Genomic DNA, 21,716 nt, shown 5'->3' on the forward strand with positions numbered 1-21,716 from the left:
ACGGGGTTTCACAATGCTGGTCAGGCTGGTTTCAAACTCCTGACCTCAGGTGATCTGCCTGCCTCAGCCTCCCAAAGTGTTGGGATTACAGGTGTGAGCCACCGTGCCCGGCCAAACCCATATTATTTTATTTTTAATTTGACTCTCCATCATGAGACTTCCTACTCTAGTTCCGACCTGTTGAATCCCCACTGCCCTTGGCACCCTACACTTGAGCACAGAGCTCCTCAAACCTCATCAAGAAGAGCAGCTACTGAGAAGGCTCCTTAACACACCACTTGCTGGGTCCCACACCCAGGTTTTTATTCCTTAGGTCTGCAGTGAGGTCTTACATTCTGTATTTCTAACAAGCTCCTTGGTGACCTCAATGCTGCTGGTCCACAGGGTATGGTTCCCTTCAGCAAGTTTGATTCCTGATAGATCCTAGATGGGACCCTGCACTTTGTCTCTCTCCTCCTTGCCTTGAGCTTGCAGCTCCTTCCTTCTGGTGGGACTGCCCTTCCCACTTCCACTCCCTCCTTCTATTCTCCTATTCCCACCACACCCCCACCTCACCAGCCTGACTGCCTCTTATGTCTCAGGACTCTGGAGAAACATTGACCCTGCCTGGACACCCTCCTAACCCTCTGCCCCTCCCTGGAGAGGGTTCAGCGCTCCCTCAGCACACAGTGCTCACCTCCTTCCAATGGATGTAGAATTGCGTGCTTGCTCTCTCCAGCTTAGTCCTCGAGAGCAGGGACCTCTGTAGAGCTTGAACACAAGAATGCATGAGTGAAGGAAAACCACAAAAATAAAAAAGGATAGAGGGTTTGAGCTTTGGGAAGATGGTGGGGATAGAGAGGGCATTGTACCTCTACCATAACAAAGCCTCCCACATGTGTACATGGTTTCCCTGCTCTCCCAGAAAGGGAGCAAGTGAAAGAGCAAGTGAAGAAGAGCAGGGAACCCAGGGAAATTCAGAGCAACATTTAAGGAAAAGAAAACTTCTTATTTAACATCATCCTTCCCTTCTTTAAATCAGCAATCAGCATTTTTTTTTTTTTGAGCTTTGGTTTTCCTACTTTACAAATGGGGAAAAATATGGACCTTTCAGGGCTACTAAGAACATTACCTTAGGTAATGTGTGTATATTAGTTCCTTTTCCCCCTGGGAAATGGATTCAGAGAAAGAAATCTCCACAAGTGTGTTAGAGAAGTTGTGATAGAGAATATGGGAGATATATTCAGTTTTATGTTTTTGGTACCTTTAAATCTGAAGTGATCACACATTTCCCATCTGCCATAAAGAGCCCATGTCTACCCTTTTTACTCCTTTCTACACACTTTCTTTTTTTCCTTTTAAAAGAGAATCTGCCAAGATGCTTGTACAACACAAATAAAGATTTTGATTTCTATAACCAGACCCCATGCAGCAAATTAAGTTCCAAAGAGATATCCAGAAAAAGTCGTTATGATACTACCTCATGAGGAAAAAGCAGCATATAATAGTTTATCTCTTATTAACAGCAACCTATAACCATGTGGGTCTTTATTATTATCATTTTAAATCTGCTTTTCCAAGTGAAGTTGGGAGTGCTGAGTATTCTTCTTGAAACTCATCCTGTTTTTTTTCATGTGCTATCATGCATAGGAATATCAGAAATTTTAAAAGAAAAGCTATGTTAGGAGTTGTCACAGTTAGCTTTGGAAGCTGATTCTAAGTTAATGTACATGCTAAATCCTAAAGAAAGTGTTGAAAAAAATCAAGCAATAGTATAAAAAGCATTAACTATATTAAATAAAATAGTACATTATAAAATACTCAATACTAGTGTCTGGGAAGGAGTAGGAAGTATTCAGTTGGGGAAACCTTTAATCCTTCTTTGAAAGTTTTGAAAACCCTTTTCTCTCTCTGGGAAATGGCTGGAGCCTGTTGTGTGCAATGTAATTAATATTGCAGAAGTGCAGAGTGTTTGGCTGAAATCTCTGAGAACAGCAAAGTGTAGCTCTTATCAGGTACTGGTGGTGGTCGGAGGAAAGCTCCCGCACCCCACCAGGCTAGTTCTGTGCTTACTAAAGGCCGTGCATCCTCTCTGCACCAATAAGCATGTGTGAGTCACACAGGGATCACAGCTCCAGTGGCTGAGCATGGCCTGCAGAAGAAACTAACTCTCCCAGTGTGGATGGTAAGCTGGCTCTGAATGGTGAAATAGATGATGCGCAGGAACTCAGGGGAGACTTGGGCAACATCACACTTGGGCATAGGCACCTCAATGGATCACAGCTCATTTCACAGGTGGTTCTGGATGGCATACCCTTCCGAGTCCATTGCGAGGCTCTGAATTAATGTGGCAAACAGCGTACATCTGGCCCTTGTCCTCATGAGATGCATTGACGTGTTGGACAACTGGACTATAAACCACTGAGAAAACAGATGAGCATCTAATCCAATTGCGAGGTGCATTATGAAGGGAATGGCAAGGTGCTTAGAGGGAGACTAACAGGGATGGAGGACCCCTTAGAAAAAGGGCCAGGTGGGAACCGACAGATGAGCTGAGCATCGTGGTCCAAGTGGGCAGCGCATGGGAAAGAGCTCAGTGGACTCAGCGTGGGTGGGTCAGACAGGGTAGGTTTGAATCCTGGCCCTGGCACTTGCTCACTATATACCTCTTTGTCTCTTTGTGCCGTGTTTGTCTTATTTGTAAAGGGGGAATAATAATAGTATTTTCCTCAAAGGTTAATTGATGTGTTTAAATGAGTTCCTGTGCAAAAAAACATCTAGAGAATTGCAGGGCTTATGATGTGGGCTCCACACACATTATCCTAGCCCCACACATACATGCATATGCACATACACTAAAATCACAGCATGCCTGGAGCAGTGTGAGGGTTGAAGAAAGGAACAGAAGATGAGGTGGGAGAGGTGAACAGAGCAGGATCATGTGGAGTCCTGGAGACTGAAATTAATTATCAGGGCAAAGGAAGTTCAATGAAATACTTTAGCAATGCTGAGGTATGATGTTTCTTATGCTTTTTAACGTTAAAAACTGTGTCAGGTGAAGGTGGCAAAAGTGAAATCTGGGAGGCAGTTCTGAAACTATTAATAGAAAACGGAAAGCAGGCAATGATGATGAGGACATGAGTGCACGCCTACTCAGTGTGATGTGAAGGCTACCGAATCCCAAACCCAGACAGAATTTTTTCACACCAAGTTCTTGATAGCATCTTTATGCTGTGCTTGAAAATCTTCACTACTGAGTACTTTCTTTCTATAAATAAGGAAATGTGGGGATAAAATGTTGTTGAATGCCTTTGTATTTTCAGGTCTGAGATTGTGCAATTTTCACAATGACTTTGAAGGTAGGTTCCTATAAGCCCCATCATACAGATAGGAGAACTGGAGCTCAAAGAAATCAAGAAAGTTGCTTCAACCAACACCTGCCCCCAGGTAGTAAGGAGTAAAACCAGAACTGAAACCCAGCTCTGTTAGACTCGTTCTACTGATTGGCTTAGTTTTCTCTAGGTCTCATGACAACGTGGAGATGTGTTTTCTTAAGAGATAACCTATGTCCCTTTGCCATCAACATTTGTATCCTCAGTTAAGTCACTAGACTAGCCAGACATTGGAGGGAATGGAATGCAGATCATAGTAACGATGATGAATGGAGAGGGAGGTGAGTGAGTGAGTGGACTGGAGAAAAGAAAACATTTGGAATTCAGTACTTGACCCAAGAACTCAGGCCTGCATGAGGGGTCCAGGCAGCCAAGTACACTGGAGTATGACATTATAAAATGAAGAGGAATGGGGGAAATAGCAGCAACATAATGAATATTTATATTTACATAAATTTCTCCATAACCATTGCTTGGACAAAAAAGTGTCAAAGATATATATATATATATATATAAAATTTCTTTATATAAATATTATATATAATTTCTTTATATAAACATTATATATAATTTCTTTATATAAACATTATATATAATTTCTTTATATAAACATTATATATAATTTCTTTATATAAACATTATATATAATTTCTTTATATAAATATAAATAAATTTTAATAAATAAAATTTAATAAATAAATATTATATGTAATATTTATTTATATAAATATTAATCCAAATTCTCTCACTGCTTTCTTATAATCAGTTGTAAGTGTAATTGAATACATTGTTATGCACCATTTTACAAGGATGGAAAGTGAGGCCCTTAGTTTTGACATAAACTTAACCCCAGTCAGACACCTGGTGAGTAGTAGAGCTGCTCTATAGAGGGCTCCTCTCCTTAGTTTAATGTCTTTACCAGGGAACCAAAGGCAAATTTCCTCCATGTGGTTTTAGTTCACCACACAAGGGACCCCACCTGCCATGTTCAGGCTCTGTGCTCAGTGCTGGTGCTGGCTGGGAGATGAAGAGTATAGTGGTGGTATGAGTGAGTGGACAGGATGTATATAATTTGTGGATGGTGATTCTCACATGGCATGTGATAGCAAAAACAGAGGGGTGTACCCAGTGCTAGGGAAACCCAAAGTTCAGATGCAATATCTGTCTATGGGGGTGGGACAAATGCATCCATGAATAATGATGGAATTGAGTTACTGCTTCAAAGACACCATGTGTGGTATGTCTCAGCTTGCAAGAAATGCCTCACTGGGAACTAGAGATCTTTCTGTCCCTTCTCCATCATGCTGGCCTCCTGCAGTACTGAGATGCACCAAACATTCTCACGCCTCTGTTATCCCTCCTGGAGACACTGGGTCCCTCCTTTCCCTGGGGTAACTCCTACATATTGTTAAAGGCCAATATACCACTCACTTTCTCTAAGAAACCCTGTCTGAATCTACCCCCTTTGAACTGAGTCAGTTCAGTTAGCATTACTGTGAGTATTAATGTCTGCATTTGCCATTAGAAACTCTATGGGACACTATGTGGTCCTTCCACTCACTGCTGGGCACTACAGGGGCTACCTAGGACACAATTTCTACTCCACAGTCTGGTACAGTGGCAGAGTAGAAGCAATCAGAAGAGAATATTAATATTGTGTACATTGTGATGTACGCACTCTGCACACACTAATTTCAGCTAGAATGTGAGAAGCCAAAACATGACAGAAAAAGAAGCTTGGGGCTACTTTGGCATCCCTGGGCAGTAAACAACTGAATCAAAATTGAAAAAGCATCATTTGGGGTAAGAAGGTAGAGTGCCAACCAATAGAGTGGCCTTGATAGGAACTAAAAGATTCCTGTTATTTCAATTACTACTAATACCTCTCCTATCTATTATTGATTTAACACAAATAATGTGCCATGCACAATGAGTTCACATTGATGTGTCATAACTTTGTAAGTCTTAGCACATGTACTTCTCAAAGCAGTTTTCTCTAATGGATATAATTATCTTCATCCTATAAATAATACAATCACCTTAGACCAAGGTAACCCAACTAACAAACTATGACCATCACAGTTTAGAATCCATTATGTTATCTATACCACAGTCCTCACTATTCCATGAGTGGTGGCAGCTGTTGGTCTGTGGCCCCACTTTGGTCTGGGTGGAATCCTAGTTGAGATAACAGTCATAAGTGCATTGATGAGGTAGGGAGGGGAGGTGCTGAGAAAGGTGGACATTTGTGAAAGTCTCTTTGTATATGGACAGTTTATTTTTAAAGTCAAGGTTTCCATCAGCAACATTTTGGTTAGGACACTTTGTTCCGTATAAATAAATTGTGAAATTGGGTTTTAAAACTAATTACAGAAAAGTATTATTTCATTTTCCTTTTCATTTCAGATCCTCAGATTCACAAAGAGTGTTTCTAGATCCTTGGAAAAAAAATTATCATTGTGTATGCTCAGGCTGAGGATTTTAATTACATGCTGAATAATACAAAAATTGAGTTTTCTTGGGTACTCAATTTTAAATAGAAAATCCCACCCCCTCCACATAATCACCACAATCCCACCCACAGAACATGGTATATAATGAATCAGTTTCAATTTGTAATTAAACAGTCTTACATGTTTTTCTACAATAAAAGCTCATTATAAAAGTTTTTGTAATTAAAAAAATAGAAAAAAAAACCCGCAAAAATAACCTAGAACAACACATTCCAAATAGAATCTCTATTAGATTTTTGGCATAATTTGTCAGATATGTTTACACATACCTGTTACATAAGTTTATCTAAATCATGGTTACTTGACCTTCACCTTGTTTTGCTTTGACAATAAGGAATTAAATGTTTTGTATAAAAACACTAAAATGATAAATATCACCAGCACAGATAAGGCAGTGATACATTTGCCCTCTTTGTTCAAATAACAAGTCTTCTTTTGCTGAGTATTTTTTTCCACTGAACCCAGTAGAAGCCTCAGAATCCTTCTCAACACAGACTTCTAGGGAGACAGTACTATGTGGAGTTGGCATCATAATTATATCTATTTTTCATCTCTAATGTTGTGTCTGAGATAAGGAGATCAAGTGGTTCTGACTGTCAGGAAGACAAATCAAGAGAGATTATTCTAAGCCATCTGACATAGTAAGCCAGACATAGGTACTTGCGGTATTTTCACCCTGTCCCCTCCAGCAAAAGCTGACATATCACTAATGAGAGTTTTTACTTCTAAACTAATGATCAGTTCACTTTGACTCAGTGTGTGGTGATTGCTTGTAAACGAATAATTCCCTTGAGTCTAATTAGGGTGGTTCTAGTCTACATGTTTCCTGTTGAGACTAGACCTGGCAGATCTCAAGAACATTTCTGTGAACTGGACATGAAATAAGATGGGAAACAGTAACAGCAGTCATGAGAATATGCACTAATTTTTCTTTCCCGCTCCTTCTTTGTTCCCAGAATCAGATGTTGCTGACTTTGATGGCCGAAGCTCACTTCTGTACAGGTTCAATCAGAAGTTGATGAGTACTCTCAAAGATGTGATCTCCCTGAAGTTCAAGAGCATGCAAGGAGATGGGGTCCTGTTCCATGGAGAAGGTCAGCGTGGAGACCACATCACCTTGGAACTCCAGAAGGGGAGGCTCGCCCTACACCTCAATTTGGGTAGGCTCAGACTTCCTCTTCCAATGCCAAGGGATGGAGAGCTCCTTTACTCCACAGCTCACAGTGTCTGACACTTGCAGTGTATCTGGTGGAAGTCACTGGAGCACAATATAAGTGATATTGGTGGGGATAGAAATGTTTAAGGCATGTATAGCATTCTTTGACACCATATAATATTGACATGTAGGGAGAGTTGCAAACTCATTGTTATGTATTTATTGACCTAACTACGTATTTATCCATTTAGTTTTCTTAGTAACTCAAACTCTAAAAAAACTTTCACAAGTTTAAGTATATACACATATTATAAGGAGGCTTGCTCAGAATCTATGCTATTAGGTACATATAAGAAAGTTAAGTTTCAGAGGGAAAATGACGGGGAAACATTTTGGTTGCTCCGGGTTATTTTGTTGGGGAAGAGGGGATCATATGTGTGAGGTGAAAAATCTAAGTTTCTAGGCATTCCCATGTCTTTTTAAGGGAAACTCTTTTCTTTAGGTGCCCTCACTGTTCCAGAGTAAGCCCCAGACTCACCAGATTCCATTAAACTTAGTACAGAATGCCCTCCTGACTCCACACAGTTAGGACATGGCCTTCCACTGTGGGCTGGCATCCATCAGGGCCTGTTGCACTCCAGGCAGGTCGCGTTCATTGTCACCAACTTCTTATCCCAGAGAAGGAGGAGAGAGGCCCAGCCTCCTGTACATGATCAAAGGCACTTCTGAAGGAAGGGTAAGCTGAGTACAAAAGGCAGGAGCACAGTTCCCAAGGATGCAAACAAAAAAACACTCTTCTATAGAAAAAAGAAAGAAAGAAAGAGATAAGCTGAAAAAAAAAGTAAATGGCCGTTTTTCATAAGAATGACTCCCTGCCTCCCATCTGATATTTACTAATATTAAAGGGAGAGGAAAATAGTTATCTTTTTGTCTTCACTATAAAATAGTAAAGAAGGAAAGAAATTGCAAAATGTAATTTGTAACCCTAAGTTGCATGGAAGACTGACAAAAATCCACAGTTAAATACATTTTAGCAATTAGCTGGAGAGACATAAGGATGAATATTAGTGCCCCAAAACTAAACAATATAGGTTTTTATTTTGAGGCATTTCTGAGGATCTTCTTGGAGCCCCATGGTGACTATAGGCAGCGGTAGCAGAAAGAATCTCTAGATTTCAAAGTTTAACTCAAAATTGACACCTAATATATTAGATATACACACCAAAATACCTTTAAAAGTAGAATATCACCTAGAAGAGAGTGGTAAAAAAATTTGCTGGTAACCTCATTGGTTGTAATTACCATAACTAAAGAAGCAAGCCTCAGAGCTTTCTGAATGTTGGGCGTCCAAATACTACACAAACATGCATCAATACATTTACTGGTTTTCAGTTTTCCAGAAAGGAGATCAGATGAATGAAGTTGAACCTCCCAGTTACAAGTGGCTTACATAGCATTGTGTGTTGGGGGTACAGTTACTATTACTTATCAATAGTAAAGCGAGTGTCTTCTACTGATAACATTGTGAAATATTTCAGTTACTACTATTTAGATTCCCATTTCAGATATGGCATTTCACATCCAAAACTCTGCTCCAACATACAAAATCTAATGTTGTAAACCAGATACATTCATGGTGTGAATGGTAGAAATAGCATAGGTGTGGTCATGTAACAATTTTTCTTTTGATTACAGATGTGCAATCAAATTGTGTTTTTTATTTTATTTATTATGTGATTTATTATGGTGGATGTCTTCTGAGCCTCAGTTTCTTTATTTCTAATCTGGGGCTAATGACTTGTCTTGCAGAGTATGGACATGAAAACCAAGAGCACTGTAAATACATTTTCTATAGCAATGAGTAAACATGGACAAATGCCAAAAAATAGAAGCTCCGTATTGCTCATTTATTCAAACAGTATCTGAATACCTCACACTGTGCTATGCTGGCTTTTCTGAAAATAAGTGGAATATTAAGATAAATAGCACCTACTCCTTGCTATGTTACATAGATGGCAGGATAAGTCTTTCTTCCCAGTTTCCATCTTCTCTATATTTCCAACCATGGTGGTGATTAAGTAAAACCTTACTTGATGGAGGATTAAGTAGTAAGAACATATTTTATCTATATTCTGCATAGTTTTAAGATTTCTTCATCTTTTTTATCTGTCTCTGCAGCTTTTCCCTTTCTATCAGTTTACCACAGTTGAGTGTTTTCTGTACTTACCTGTTTTAAGCAGTCACCTAGGATACTTCTTAAATAGCATAAGTTTCTAGGTTCCTCTTCTAGAGAAACACTGCCACAGATTAGTACTTTAGTCCCTCCTACCTCATTACAGCTAGAAGATCTCTGGAAGCACTAAGCAAAGGGGAGTGGTAATAGCTTTGCTTTGCCCATAATGGGAAATCTATAATGTAGGTTTCATAAACACCAGGATAACACCTTGTTCACTTCTGTATCTCTAGCCTCCAGGAGAAACTCTTCCTAAAGTAGGTACTTGAGGCAGATTGAGTACATTAGGAACAGGGTTTTCATCTCAAATTTCATTATTCCTGTTGGGCTTGTTCACCTTCAAGCCTGCACTCCTGACTCCTCCATGATCCACCACTCTCTCTGACAATGGGGTATATTTACAGAATATTCACAGTGTGGTAATGTCCAGTCCGATCCTCAAGGAAGACCTATGGCATAAGTATACATTAGCCCCCATTTACAGATATGAAATAGTAGACTCAAAGAGGATAAATTACTTGTCCCATTTATACAGATAGTGATTAGTGTAGCTACTATTACCATCTCCAGGTGTTTTACTATTAATTTTAGATTATAAAATATATATCAGTTTTAGAAAACCGGAAAATAATATAAAAAAAAGAAAAATCCAACTCTTACAACCTGGTTATCTCTTTTATTAACATTTTAGTATCTTTTAAGTATTTATCTTAGTTATTTATATGAATTCTTTAAATATTATTCTAAAATACTGTTGTTTTCCTGTTGTCACACAGCCTTAAAGGGGAAAGGGTTTATAACATCCATGATCAGGATTGTTCTTTTAAAAAAATGAATCAGAAAAGCAAGAGAAATACAGGAGAGGTGAGAGAGACAGAGAGAAAGAGAGGCAGGATTCAAGTTAATGGGTTAAAGAATAGTGCTGGTCAAATAAAGGAGAGAGTTTTGGTTTTTCCCTCTCCAGTTTATATGGACATTTCAGCAGTGTCTCCTTTAGTGACAATTCTTCATCTGCAATGTTTATTCATTTTCTAATCAGTTACTTGCAATTCAGAAATTCAGGCTAAGAGTGAAGAAGTTCAGCACCACGGTCAGCTGCTCAGGATGGCACTGGGGACATACATAGTGTACTGTTGTTCTTCTCTAGTGATGCTCTTTGATGAGTATCCAATTTACATTACATAGTTACCCTAACCCTTACTGTGTCTGGCTTGGGTAGAGACAGTTCTATGGCAAAATTGAACTATGTGGTTCCTCTTTGCCTACTTTCTTAAAGTAGAACATTGATATTTTTCCAGAACTACTAGATGGGAAAGAGATTTCTTCTTTCAATCCATAAGGGGTTAGATATGTTTCCTTTCTCACTTTTTACACATCTCATTCAAATTGCCCATGGCAGTCTGCCCTCTGCCGAATTACAATAGTCTGAACCCATTCATGCAGGTAGAGAATCAAAGAGCAGAGATATTACGTGACAAGAGAACTGTTGTAAGAATAAAGAAGACAACAATAGTACATGCAGGTCAATCATCCTTATAAGAGCCCAGTGCCTTTTAACTGAGGCAGGATGTTTATGCAATCCCCAATACATACAGCTGTAGCAAAGTGAGACTCAAGTGAGACTCCTAGAATAGAACAAACATCTGAGGAGCACCTGGGGGCCGAGTACAGGGTTCAGGCGCCAAAGCATGTGATTGCATAATCAACCACTGAGATGCCAGAGAAAGTTCTTTCCATTCTCCAAAGAGTCAAATGAACATTTAATTTAGCTCTTTTGAAACTCAGGCATTTTAGTCAGCCAACTCACACATATTTATGGAATGTTTATCATGTTTCTCAAATTGTACTAAATACTATAAAAGTTTTTTTTTAGTTGCCATTTTTTGAGAGCCCACATTTAGGCATTGCATTAAACATTTAAAATACATATTTTATTTAAATTACATGACAATCCTACAATCTGTATCCAAACCCATTTACAGATGAAGAACTGCTGGTCAGTGATTCCCAGTCAGTGGCTCAAGGTCACATAGCTGCAAAGCTGTAGATATGGGATTATAACCTTATTCAATCCTACCCCAATTCTCTGACATTAATCACTAAAATGTAATAAACTTTTATAAAACAAATAATAAAAATTATAAAACAATTCATAAAAATGTTAAATATCAGGCAAACAATATGTATGTGTTAAGTTCTGAGAATGGAGAGATCAGGAAGGAACAGAGGGATCCAGGATCAACCTTGAGTAATCTGGAGATTTTATTATGGAGAGGGGAGAAAAACAGGTATTTCATACAAAGAATCAATGGGATAAAATGCATCACATTTTTCATAAATTCTGTCATTATGCAATAAGAATAGGTTAAACAAGTACAGTAAATCAGGCACTGAATTCTGCACTGGGGGTTAAAAGTTGGATTTATCAGTCTCTATTTTCAAGAGGCTGTCAGCCTGGTAAAATAGTTATTTCTACTTACTTTTTAGCTTGGTTATATTAATTGGAAATAAAATAACTATGCATCATCAAAATCATATAACAAATGTATTAAGATAATGTTTTCGAAGATAGCAAAGTCACAGAAGACGGACACAAGTTAGACACCAGAGTAGAGCAACAACTCCTAAATCTGGAGAGTGTTTTTAGTCAATACAATCTAGAAATTTCTTAACAGCTAAGGACATGTGTTTCATTGCTTTAGAGAAACATAGAGACTTGCTCTGGATTGAGAGTCAAGTCCATTGAATCACATTGCTTCCTGTCCGTTTCTTATTTTCTTCAGGGCTCTCACTTGGATACTTAGGAGACCATTCAATAGCTTTGCGTATTGCCCAACAAAGTTGAAAGGGGGTACCTTTACAATACTGGCTGGGACAGGGAGGTAAAACTTTTCTTCTTATTCTGTGTCATGTCCTCCCTTCTTAGTGTTGCCCCATTTTACTTTTCTACAGCTCCCTGTTTTCCAATCCATTAAATTCCTTTGCAAAAGAATGCCCTCCATTCCTACTAAGCTACATAACTTACATGCATATATGGGAGATACAGATAGTAAGAGCGTAAGAAATGAGGGAGAATGAGAGTATCCATTTTTCCACTAAGAGTAGTGAAGACAGTTTTAGCTTTGGAGTCAAATAGAGTTGGGTTGTAACCCCTATTCTTTGAGTCCTTAGGTAAATCTTGTGGCTTCTTGGAGACTCACCTTTCTGCAGGGTTATTATAGTCAGAAATAATTATAACAACATATGTGAAGTGTTTAACTTGTGTGAGAAGCTTAAGAAATACAAGTGAATATCGGTGTTGATAGCCTGACAAATTAAAGGTGGGTGGGAAAGTTGATTCTGATGATCTGATAGAGGCAGTCATGAGGGAATTCACGTGACTAGCCACCTATTTTATCAAGAGTAAATCAAACCCTTTTCAAGAATGACTTTTTTTTTGTCAAATACAATCTTAAACATGAGAGTTCCCATCCCCTTTTTCTCAGGCTGTCTGAAATTCACAGATTATGAAAGTTAAAGTGGCATCCATGTTTGAACAGTTAAGATAAGACCTAGAAAGAAGATTTAATCAAACAAGGCATTTGGTTGAAAATACTGCAACATGCATGCCCTTTACCAGAAAATGTGAGTTCTAAGTAAGGATGAAAGAATTGGCATGCTTATCCACAGCATCTTGGGGTGGAGGGAGGAGAATAAACTGGTAAATTAAACACTTTTTGCAAACATTTCAAGCTTCCTATAAAAATTGTTATATTTCTTAGGGCCTTGGGTAGTATATATCTTATTTTGTTTTAACTATATTTTAAACCCCATGAAAACAAGTTTTTATTTCATTAGAAATAATTATTTCCCTTATCTATTTCTGTCCCAAAAGTTAGTTTCTGTATAGTTTTATTGTTTTTGTCCTTCACAATTGCCCATGAAAATTTTTATCTTTGTCTTACGAAATTAGAAACAAGTTAAAACTAGTAATTGAACCTCAAATGCCACTGAGATAAAACTTAAAATAGATATTCTAAGATCAAGAGTTTGATAATTTCGTGAGAATTAAGTGTTTTGTGATCTCTAATAATGGAAATTTCTAGGGAAAATGAAACATTTCTGAGGACCACCATCCTACACTTCTCATAAATACAATTCTAAACATCCTTTTTTAATGAAGAGCAGAAATTTTGTTTTCCCAATTTTTTAACCAAATCAAGTTTCACTAAACTTGTTTTGATATAAGATATCTGAGTGTTGGTATAGCATAACTAATGGAAAAAGAGTGATGAAATTTATCCATATGTGCTCCTTTTTGGTTAATTAATAAGTAACTTGTAATTCCCAAGAGACTCAATAATTACACGTCAGTGATATATAGTCTTCAACAAATATACTATGCAGCGTGAGGATTGTGTTTTTAATGAAGTTTATTTTTCTCATTATCCAAAATAGTTATGCTCACCCTAAAACACACAGAAAAGAAAAAAAAAATGATTATGATAAATGCATTCTTCAGTTTTATCCGCACATAGTGCTTATTTGTGCCTTTTCCAGAATTGTTTTTAGTCTAGATTTTGTATTTTTGTCTTCTGCTCATGTATATTTTAAATCAGTATAGTCTAATTATTGAGTATTCTATTTATTAAATATTACTTTTAATTTTATCAAAAAGGGCAGTCACTACTGAGTATACTTTTGAAATAATGTAAGTATTTTATAAATATCATTTTGATGGCTATTTAATATAATACTTCATCTGGTGAGTCTACATAAATGAACTCAGATTTTTTTTTCTCCTTCCAAATTATTGGACATTATATCCAATTTTTAAATCACTAGCCACTTAAACACTTTTCCACAACAAAAAGTTGTGAACATAAGTTTAAGTCCCTTGATACTAACTGAAATGTTTCTCCATAGAATTGGTGGGACTCAATTTTGCATTATCTTTGGGCATATATATATATATATATATGTACTAAGTAAATGAACAATGTAAACAAGGAGCAATGCTAATCCACTTTTGAGGAAAGGTCAACAAATTGCTTTAAGTATTCATAAAAATTTCATGAGCTACTTTGCATAAAATGATAAGTGTGTTAATTAAGTTTATGGTTTCATTAGATGGAGTAAGTGAAAGGTAGTCACTATTTAAGAAGAAGTACTTTTATTTTCCTAAAGTCTTAAAATTATAAGGAGAAGAATTGTTGGATGCAATGAGAGTGGCAAACTTTCTGAGCCAAAGTTAAGACCCAGGAGAGAAAGGGCTGACTTTAGACCTTGAGGAGGGTAAAGGTAAAGTTACTGATGCTAGCTCTGCTTCCCGCAGTGGAGATGTTCCTGCCCATTGAGATGGTGGTGATGATGGTGGCAGTGGATGCAAGAAGGGTACAGTGAACAACAACCGACATAACCTACTACTAGAAGCTTTAGGATTTGAAGGTCCCAATCATGTACTTAGAGAACCTTGATCCAGTCAACATAACAAATACCACCCTATCCAATTTACTAGCGTTCTCCTGCCATTTTAAAGTTATACAATCTATTTCACTAAATAAGGCCACTCAAGGATTTTAAAATAGTGGAATTTAGACAATTGGTAGCCATCTCAAAACATAAAGGTAGAACTGTGCCTCATACCATACATCAGAATAAATTTCAGTTGAAAGTACTTAGGGAAAACTAGAAGAATTCTTCAATGATCTCAGAATAAGGAGAACCTTTTAAACTATTATACAAATCCAGAAGCTATAAAAGGAAAATGATAGATTTGTTCCCAATACACAAATACCTGAGTGGTGAATTTAAAAAAATCAATCAAACAAACAAAAACAGAAAAGCAGCAACAAACACAAATAAAGAAAGGCAAAAAGATATTTTCAAAATTCGTATCACAGGCAAAATATAGGAAGAGAGTTCAAAGAAAAGGAAATAAAAATAAAAAGATTTTCAACCTTATTCTTATTAAAAGAAATGCATATTAAAATTTCAGAAATGCACTTTTTTAACCTACCAGACAGCCAAATTTTAAAGCTAGACCGTATGTTGTTGGCAAGCCTGTGGTAAAGGCACTCCTAGGCATTTAAATAGTCATGGTCTTTATATAGGACAATTTGGCAGTATTTGCAAAATTGCCAACATGAAAGCCTTTGTCCTCCAGTTCTTTATCTAAGAATGAACGCTACAAATACGCTTGTGCCCAAGCGAGATAATATCCACATAATAAAGTATCTCAACAGTTTTAAAGATCTAAAGTAAATAGAAACATCTAAATTTATATCACTAGGAAGCTCATTAAATGAAATGTGATATGCCCTATATATCATATATATGATTATATATTATTTATATATAATTATGTATCATATGTATATACATCATATGTTATATTTATATATGTATATATATTAGAGCATGGAATACTATGCAGCTATAAAAAGGATGGGAAAGCTCTTTGTATTCTGATAAAGATTTTCAGGATAGATGAAATAAAAATGGAAAGTTGGAGATAAATGCACATTCTATTTTACCATCAGTGTAAAAAATTAAATGAGTAGAAATAAAGAAAATCTATCTTTGCTGCTTGCATACACCTAATATTTTTCTGGAAGCACAAGCAAGACATTAATAGCGGTGATTACCTGGGGCTATGGAAGATGAGCAGATGGAGGAAGTGAGGAAGGGAGGCAGGGAGGGTGTTTTACTATACCCAAAGTTACATAAAAAATAAAATCAGTTTGACTGATTCATAATATTTATAAAATTTATCTTTTGAAGCAGGATAGGGTGATTAAAATATTTTATTTTAATCATTGTTATTATTGGCTCTATTAAAGAACTTAGTAGTTGATTAAAGGCCACAAAAACAGCACATAGAACAAATAAGTTGGGGAAAGGGTGTAATTCCTTGCCGTGTGTGTGTGTGTGTGTGTGTGTGTGTGTGTGTGTGTGATGTATAATGACTTTAAATTTTCAAATGTTTAATATTTGGACTTATTATTAATAAATTTTTGTTCAATGCCTTTCTTATTTTAAGAAAAAAGTGAGATGCAGCTCAATTTCAAAGTGAAAACTCCAATATTAAATCTACCTGCCTTGTTACATCTAGAAATGACAGTTTATAAAGCATAGTTTCCTTCAGCCAATGTTAGCTCCTGAGTCATTTCATTTTATACATAAAAACTGTGTGTGGGGTGGCGGTGGTGGTGTTCTTTGTTCTATCTCCGTCACCTGGAGGCCACCTCCTGCCAACGCCTCATAATTACTTGGATACCATTCTTCCTGTACTCTTCTTGCCTGAACCCCTTTATGCCCCATCTATCCAGATTATGGCCGGTCTTATAGCCAGTCTTACCTTCTAATCCAATTCCCACACAGCTGCCAAAATAACCTTTCTTAAAAGTAATCTGCTGGCCGGGCGCAGTGGCTCACACCTGTAATCCCAGCACTTTGGGAAGTCGGGGCAGCAGATCACTTGAGGTCAGGAGTTCAAGACCAGCCGGGTCAATGTGGTGAAAACCCGTTTCTACCAAAAATATAAAAAATTAGCCTCATGTGGTGGCCTGCGCCTGTAATCCCAGCTATTCTAGAGGCTGAGGCAGGAGAATCGCTTGAACCCAGGAGGCAGGGGTTGCAGTGAGCCCAGATCATGCCACTGTACTCACTCCAGCCTGGGTGACACAGGTAGACTGCATCTCAAAACAAACAAACAAACAAACAAGCAAAAAAATACAGTAATCTGCATTAGTAACCTCTGCCTACTCAAAGTTCCATTTCTTAAAAAAGGTGTAAACTGTGTGACCTAGCCTACAAAGTCCTGCATAGTGGGATCCAGGCCGACGAGCTCCTGGCACTCAGCCGCTGGAAGTCCTGGGCCACGCTTCCCTACATCTCTAAACCTGGCTGCTGCTTCTCCTGGCCTTGCAACCATGCTCCTCCTTCCCTCAGGTTTCAGCCTGTCCCTGCTGCATAAGGAGGGTTTCACAGCACCGCACTCTGCATTTCCATGGCCCTGTGCACTGAGTGCTGGAAACCTGCATACATTTTATAGATTTATTTGATGAGCATCTCTACACTAAGACCACGAAGACCTTCAGAGAGGACAGTATACCTTTAAACTCTATGTCTCCTTAATACATTACTTGTCACTGTGACCAGCTCAGGTGGATCACACAAATATCTTTTTTTTTTTTTTTTTTTTTAGATGAAGTTTTGCTCTTGTGGCCTGGCCCAGGCTGGAGTGCAGTGGCGCGATCTCAGCTCACTGCAACCTCCGCCTCCCAGGTTCAAGCAATTCTCCTGCCTGAGCCTCCCAAGTAGCTGGGATTACAGGCGCCCATCACCTTGCCTGGCTAATTTTTTTTTTTCTGTATTTTTAGTAGAGATGGGGTTTCACCACACTGGCCAGCCTGGTCTCAAACTCCTGACCTCAGGTGATCCGCCTGCCTCGGCCTCCCAAAGTGGTGGGATTACAGGCGTGAGCCACTGTACCCGGCTCATAATACCTTTCTATAGGAGAAAGAAAGGGAGGTAAGGAGAAAAAATGAAAGTATCTTTTAATTCATTAGCATAATCCATCAAACAATGAAAACTCAGAAGTTGTGGAACAAACCAATGAAATCAAGTCAGCTATTAATTCATCAGCTCTACTTTTCTAATTATAATGAGTCTGATGCTTCTAACCCTATATGAAGCAACCAAGTTACTCAGTGAAGGAAATAATGCCTTGGGCCATAATGGAGGTGGGAGTGAGCAGCCTTCGGGGAAGTGGCAGCTACCGCCTGCTGAATGTCACACGGTTGAACAGGCTGCTGCAGCTGTACTGGAGAAAACACTTCCCAAGAGGGAGGAGACAGACATTTAGCTTTCAGTTACTAAGGAACCTAATATATAAAATGTTACAAAAATTGAAAATGTATATATACACAAACGTTAGTTCTATTTAATTGTTCATTTTGCTAAGGTTGACGCAAGTTCCTCAGGGGAAGATATAAGCTGTAATCTTTTTGGTAGAGGGGTATAGCCAGGGACTTCCATAAAATTGAGAGAGAAGGAGGCGGAGGGGGAACCAGGCAGGTTGGATTGCAAAGCATGCCTTTCCAGCTGCATCTCTCATGTCTTCTCAAAGGGGTCTTCCAAACTCAACAGAGGCTAAATCCTCAACAGTATGACCCGAGCCATGATCCATAGCTGTGGTCAAAGTAAAAAGGATGAGGCAAACCTAGATTCAAGTTCTGACCGTACCTGAGGCATGCATGTCTCACCTCCCTGAGCCTCAGAGTTCTTATTTGTCCAATGGAGATGATAATTTTCCCTTAGAGGATTAAAGATGAAAGTTATTTCTTCCTAAGTGCCGTGCATACAGTAGGTACTCAGCCATGACATATGGGATGATTATTTCCTTGCCACTGCTTTTGCCCACAAACTTACTAGCTGTCTTCCCTTTACGTATCCCAGCTTTACTCCTCCTCCCAGGCACGGCTCCTAATTGGCTTTCTCCACTCAAGAACCATTCAAACTCAAAGAATATGCATTCTTTCTAAAAACAAAATCCCCATTTTCAATCATATTTATGTAGCCATAAGGACATAGTTCCTTTCATTATTTAATTTTTCAAGTCTTGAAAACATGCCCTATTTTGTCTGGAAGGAGGTATGCATATTGAACTTGATTCTGGAATCTGTGGGCCAAGCCTGTTATTCCTTCCCAGGTCCAGCACAGTTCCAGGCCTGTAGGGAGACATCATTCTTTGCCTTTAGAACAGATATAGCTGCTTTTGCTTGTGGAGCATTCTGGTGTGCAAAGCTGCCCTTGGACACAGACATCATCTTGCCTCTCTCCCCTCTTCACAGGTGACAGCAAAGCGCGGCTCAGCAGCAGCTTGCCCTCTGCCACCCTGGGCAGCCTCCTGGATGACCAGCACTGGCACTCGGTCCTCATTGAGCGGGTGGGCAAGCAGGTGAACTTCACGGTGGACAAGCACACACAGCACTTCCGCACCAAGGGCGAGACGGATGCCTTAGACATTGACTATGAGGTGAGTTGATCCTCCTTCCTGCACCTCCTCGGCCCCTTGCTTCAATGAACGCAGCAAGAAAATCAGTGAGCAGACCAACTGAGAGAAGTGGTGGGGCACTGAGGAGTCTTACCCTGGGACTTACTTCCTCCATCTATGCCAGATAGTCAACAAGGAAAGGAGTGCAGCCAGAGAATCTGAGCAGTGAAGGAGTGATGGGCTAAACCACAAGATAGCAGCTCTGTGCATTTTAAAATCCAGCAGGTTTCCTTCTCATTTTTTTTTTTCCTGCGTGTAGACTTTCTGTGCTGCTGCCTAGTCTATTGGTTATGTATCTTCTTAAAAAAAAGACCTCAGTTATCTGTGGTGATGAAAGATATTTACATTATAAACAAAACCCATGGAATCTAAAACCTGCAGTCGAGACTACCCTTTGACTTTCATTCTTCCGATGCAAGCTTTTGACTAATACCGTGGCGAGCTGTTTCTTCCCTGCTCTCTTGTAGAAGAGGTACAGTGAAATGAACCAGTTCAATGCAAAGAAGGCTGCACAAAGCTCTGCAAACTGGCAGCCAAGAGTTTGCCAGCTTTGTTAGTAGTTCAGTTCAAGGAATGCATGTTGTGCCCCTGCTGTACACCAGGCTCTGCTGGGCCATAAATGTCCAGTCTCTGAGTTGGAGAAACTGAGATAAGCTCTTGCAGAACAAGGAGGTTAAAGCTACAGTGGATGAAGCCCCTGTCACTGGAAGTTTAGAATAGAGAAATTTTATATTTATATAATTATGTATTTATATAGGAAACAGGGCACTTAATTCAACCTTGAAAAATGGCAGAAGTTTTCTAGCAGGAGATGCTGCTAAGCCTTGAAAGAATAGGGTTAGAAGACTGGGGAGGCAAGACAGAGCATGGTTCAAAAAATGTCAAACAGTCCAGTATTTATGGAATTCAAAAGAATAGGCCATCAGTGGTGTGTTTGAGTCAGCTTGTTACCAGTTCATGAGTTTCAAGTGTTAGATTTTCAGAAATTTTGTGAGCCCTTGGTTAACCTAGGCATTATTAAAAATTAAGTTGGCTGGGCATGGTGGCTCACACCTGTAATCTCAGCACTTTGGGAAACTGAGACCAGCAGATCACGAGGTCAGGAGATAGAGACCATCCTGGCTAACATGGTGAAACCCCGTCACTACTAAAAACACAAAAAACTAGCCGGGCATGGTGGCTCGCGCCTGTAGTTCCTGATACTCAGGAGGCTGAGGCAGGAGAATTGCTTGAACCTGGGAGGTGGTGCTTGCAGTGAGCCTAGATTGTGCCAATGCACTCCAGCCCGGGAGACAGAGTCAGACTCCGTCTTAAAATAATAATAATAATAATAATAATAATAATAAAGTTATGTAAACTTGAAATTAGTTTTAAAAGCTAATACATTCATTGATTTCTAATTATTTCACTATATTATATCGATTTGCCTGTCTCTTTTAACTAAAGGTGCTCTGGAGGTATTTCATGACTATTCTATCTGTGTTGTGGGGATACTGTAGGTTGGGCTGCTACCACACAGCTCTTCCCAATTCTATGTTCAGTGAAATCCCGTTGACAGCTTGAAGTCTACCATAGTGGAAATACTTATACCACAGAGGTTGACATACATTACAAATCAGGGACTGCTTTATTGTTTTGTGCATTGTCTAGACCAGGGGTCAGAAAACTACCTGGCTTGTCTGGCTTGAGGCCTGTTTTTTTATGATGTGTGAGTTAAGACTAATTTTTACATTTTTAAAGGGTTGTAAAGGCAATAAAGAAATTTTTCAAAAAGAATATATGACAGAGACTCTAAGTGCTACAGATAAAATTATTCAACAAAGGTCAGCAAAAGCATTCTATAAAACTCAACTGGTATACAGAACTTACAATAATAGATTATTGCATATTTTATCATTATTCATAAATTGTGTGCTACAAGTTGTTAATATCATTAAAAGAATCTTACGTTTGGATACACAGTCATGGCACACCAACACGTACATACCTGTGGGTATGTGTGTGTTCCTGTGTCCCACCTTGGACAGCCTGCTAGCAGACAACTTCAATCACTAGTGGGATAGATAATAGAACAGTGGAGATGGAGATGAATAATTGAGAAATCGGGACTTATTTTTTCAATCACTATCATGAGAATAAGAGAGCTCTTTTGATCTTAACCTTAGTTTAGTATACTGTGGATAAAATATGCCATTCATTAACTTCAAAAAGGAATTTGTCACTCTTTGACTCAGAATACAAGATAACAGGTGGATATTTTTGAGTTGCTGAAAACTGGAAATCTGTGAATATCAATTGCTCTCCTTTGTCAACTTGTTTAATTGATTGACAAAAGAAAGAACACACTCAATATTGGAACCATCTCAAAGAAAAGAGATATTTTTTATAAACTCAAAGACAACAA

At 38.5% G+C, this 21,716-nt stretch overlaps 1 protein-coding gene across 3 annotated transcripts in view; it reads left to right on the forward strand.

Annotated features, from left to right (window-relative positions):
• The window catches only part of CNTNAP5 (contactin associated protein family member 5), an 895,933-nt gene that overhangs the window by 402,357 nt on the left and 471,860 nt on the right, over window positions 1-21,716 (forward strand). For all 3 annotated transcript variants that reach the window (NM_001367498.1, XM_017003316.2, NM_130773.4), the window contains exons 5-6: window positions 6,841-7,044; window positions 19,110-19,294. In NM_001367498.1, coding sequence (NP_001354427.1) covers window positions 6,841-7,044; window positions 19,110-19,294 — 389 coding nt within the window. The remainder of the gene's footprint in view (window positions 1-6,840; window positions 7,045-19,109; window positions 19,295-21,716) is intronic.

This window comes from Homo sapiens, chromosome 2 (assembly GCF_000001405.40).
Source record: "Homo sapiens chromosome 2, GRCh38.p14 Primary Assembly".
NCBI lineage: Eukaryota > Metazoa > Chordata > Mammalia > Primates > Hominidae > Homo > Homo sapiens.